The sequence below is a fragment of the Homo sapiens genome, chromosome 18 (assembly GCF_000001405.40).
Source record: "Homo sapiens chromosome 18, GRCh38.p14 Primary Assembly".
In the NCBI taxonomy this organism is placed as follows: Eukaryota; Metazoa; Chordata; class Mammalia; order Primates; family Hominidae; genus Homo; species Homo sapiens.
The window spans coordinates 8,544,924-8,547,968 of record NC_000018.10 but is presented as its reverse complement, the minus strand read 5'-3'; the positions used below and the strand labels follow the sequence as shown (position 1 = coordinate 8,547,968).

The 3,045-nt window shown below is 47.8% G+C and overlaps 1 pseudogene; it reads right to left on the bottom strand.

Moving 5' to 3' along the window:
- AKR1B1P6 (aldo-keto reductase family 1 member B1 pseudogene 6) lies at nt 1,012–2,361 on the bottom strand (annotated as a pseudogene).

The window sequence follows — 3,045 nt, the reverse complement described above, 5'->3', positions numbered from 1 at the left end:
GGGAGGCCAAGGTAGGAGGATCCCTTGAGTCTAGGAGTTTGAGACCAGTCTTGCCAATATAGGGAGACCCCTATCTCCACAAAAAAATTTGAAAAATTAGCCAGGTATGGTGGTGCACACCTATAGTCCCAGCTACTAGGGGGTTGAGGCAGGAGGATTCCTTGAGCCCAGGAGTTCGAAGTTGCAGTGAGCTGTGTTCACACCACTGCACTCCAGCCTGGGCCACAGAGTGAGACTCTGTCTATATATTTAAAAAAAAAAAAAAGAAATAAACTAGGTAAAATATTAACTGTCCTAATACCATTTCCCAAAGGGAAACATTCTCTTAATGATGCCAGCCAATGCATCAGGAAAGATTACCTTTTGACTGTCATAGATCACTATGACCTGCTTATTTATCCTATTATTCTAAGTGTGCCATGTTTCTGTGGCTAACGCATTTCTTTTATTTTGTTAAAAATGTGAAATTTTCAAGCTTAAAGGAACTTTTAAACTTAGAGTTGTGAGTACACTACACAACGATTTTTTCCTAAGCCATTTGCAAGTAATTTGTCCATGTCATATCCCAACTCGCCCCAATTTTTCGGATGTATTTGCTACAAGGCTATCTCCTACGTAACCACACTACACCATTCCAACCAGGAAATTAAAAGACACATCACCTCCATCTCATCCTCAAACCCCCTTTACATTTTGCCAATTATCCTGAGTGTTCTATGCAGCAAAATGATTCAATCCAAAGTCTTATATTGCCTTCTGTTGCCCCCCTCTGTCTCTTTTCACAAAAGCACTTATTATTTGAGGCAAAGAGAAGTCTTGCCGTAAGGATTACAGTTCCATCAGCCGAAACTCAACTGTTAGAGGCACTATTTTGACTCTGTAGATTTTGCTTCTCTTTGGTCAGAAAAGGGTATTCAGGTTGCACTTCCTTCAGCTGAACAAAAATGGCAAAGAAAGTGGGAAAAGAATTCCACTCTACTGATGCTGCTCTTCAGACCTGACGTCAAGCTTGACAGACCCTTGCTGGTCAGTCTGCAGATTGCTGCCCCACTGCCAAGGGATACAGGCCATACTACATTTGCAAGAAAACAATGAGGCGGGAAAACCAGGTGTAGGTTACTTGCGGAAGAGCAGACATCCACAGCTTCGAAACTCTTCATGGAATGGGTGATCCTTGGGGGCGGTTCAGCTTACCAAGGCACAGACCCTTCAGTTCCTGTTGCAGCTGAGTAAGGAGGTCATATCCTGGCTGCTCAGTTCAAAGTCAAAGACCTTGAAGTTCTCAGCAATGCGATCCAGTGTCACAGATGTGGGGGTCACCACCAAGTTCCTCTGTGTGAGGAGCCACATCAGAACCTGGCTACAGTTTCATTGTGCTTGGCTGCAATCACTTTGATCCTGGGGTCTTCCAGGAGGGAAGGGTCCTCAGGCTTGGCCCTGGGCCTGTCGGGAGAGCCAAGGGGGCTGTAGGCGGTCACTATGCTGCCTTGGACTGGTAGTACTGGATTAAGTTCTCTTGAGTTAGGGACCTACCAGTGGCGCTCAATCTGATGAACCACTGCTGGCTTACACTTTTTTTTTTCCCATTGAGACGGAGTCTCACTCTGTTGCCCAGGCTGGAGTGCAGTGGCACGATCTTGGCTCACTGCAACCTCCATCTCCTGGGTTCAAGCGATTTTCCTGCCTCAGTCTCCCAAGTAGCTGGGACTACAGGCACACGCCGCCACACCCGGCTAATTTTTTTGTATTTACAGTAGAGACAGGGTTTCACCATGTTAGCCAGGATGGTCTTGATCTCTTGACCTCCTGATCCGCCTGCCTCGGCCTCCCATAGTGCTGGGATTACAGGCGTGAGCCACCATACCCAGCCAGCTTTCACTTTAAGCCAGATTTGTTTAAGGTCCTCTCGGCCTGGAGATGGTGAAGTTGGAGATGCCAGCAGCTTTCACCAGCCCCTGAATGAGTTGCCTGATTCATCTAAAAAGGAAAATTCCTTCCCAGGATGACAGCCTGTTGGCCAGTGAATAAGGTGGAGGTCCAGGTAGTCCAGCTCCAGGCCACTGAGCACCTTTCGGCAGGATCCTCTCACCAGGCACTTCCTGTGGCATATGCCCCATGGCTTGCTGATGATGAAGAGCCACTCACGCCTCACCACCTGCTCCTTGAGCTGCTCCTGGTCCTTGTTCTGGTGCACGTGGCTGCAGTCGATGTGGCGGTATACAGTGTTGATTGCTACCTTCACAGCCTCGGCCACCTGGCCTGGAGGGGACTTCCAGGTGCCTAGCCCTAGCATGTCCGTCTTGGTGCCATTGTTGAGCATGATGTGGCTGTCATGGCTGCGTTGTTTTACAGACCCCTGCCTGCAATTTGCCTTAGTTGTCCATCTCTTCGGTCTTCTTCAGTCCTGAATAATTTTAGTGTTTCCTTGACTTTCATTACCCTGACTTTTTTTTTTTTTTTTTTTTTTTTTGAGATGGAGTCTCACTCTGTCGCCCAGGCTGGAGTGCAGTGACACGATCTCGGCTCACTGCAACCTCCACCTATCAGGTTCAAATGATTCTCCTGCCTCAGCCTCCTGAGTAGCTGGGATTACATGCACTTGCCACCACGGCCAGCTACTTTTTGTATTTTTAGTAGAGACGGGGTTTCACCATGTTGGCCAGGCTGGTCTCAAACTCCTGAACTCAGGTGATCTGCGCGCCTCGGCCTCCCAAAGTGCTGGGATTACAGTGACCCTGACTTTTGGAGATAACAGGCTAGTTATTTGGTAGAAAGTCCCCGGATTTGGGTGGGTCTGATGTTTCTCGTGGTAAAACTCAGATGATGCCCCTTTGCAGGAATATCACGAGTGTTGTGTTCTCACTGAGTCCTTGCATGTGGCACGTTTCCATTTGCCTCATTAGTGGTAATGATGCAAACAGCACTCCTGATTAAGGTGGTGTCTCCCAGCTTCCCCTCCCTAAAGCTACCCCTTCTTTCCCTTAGTAAGTGACAAATATTTTGGGGAGAGATTCTCTGATCCTTTATAAATATCCTGTTCCTCAT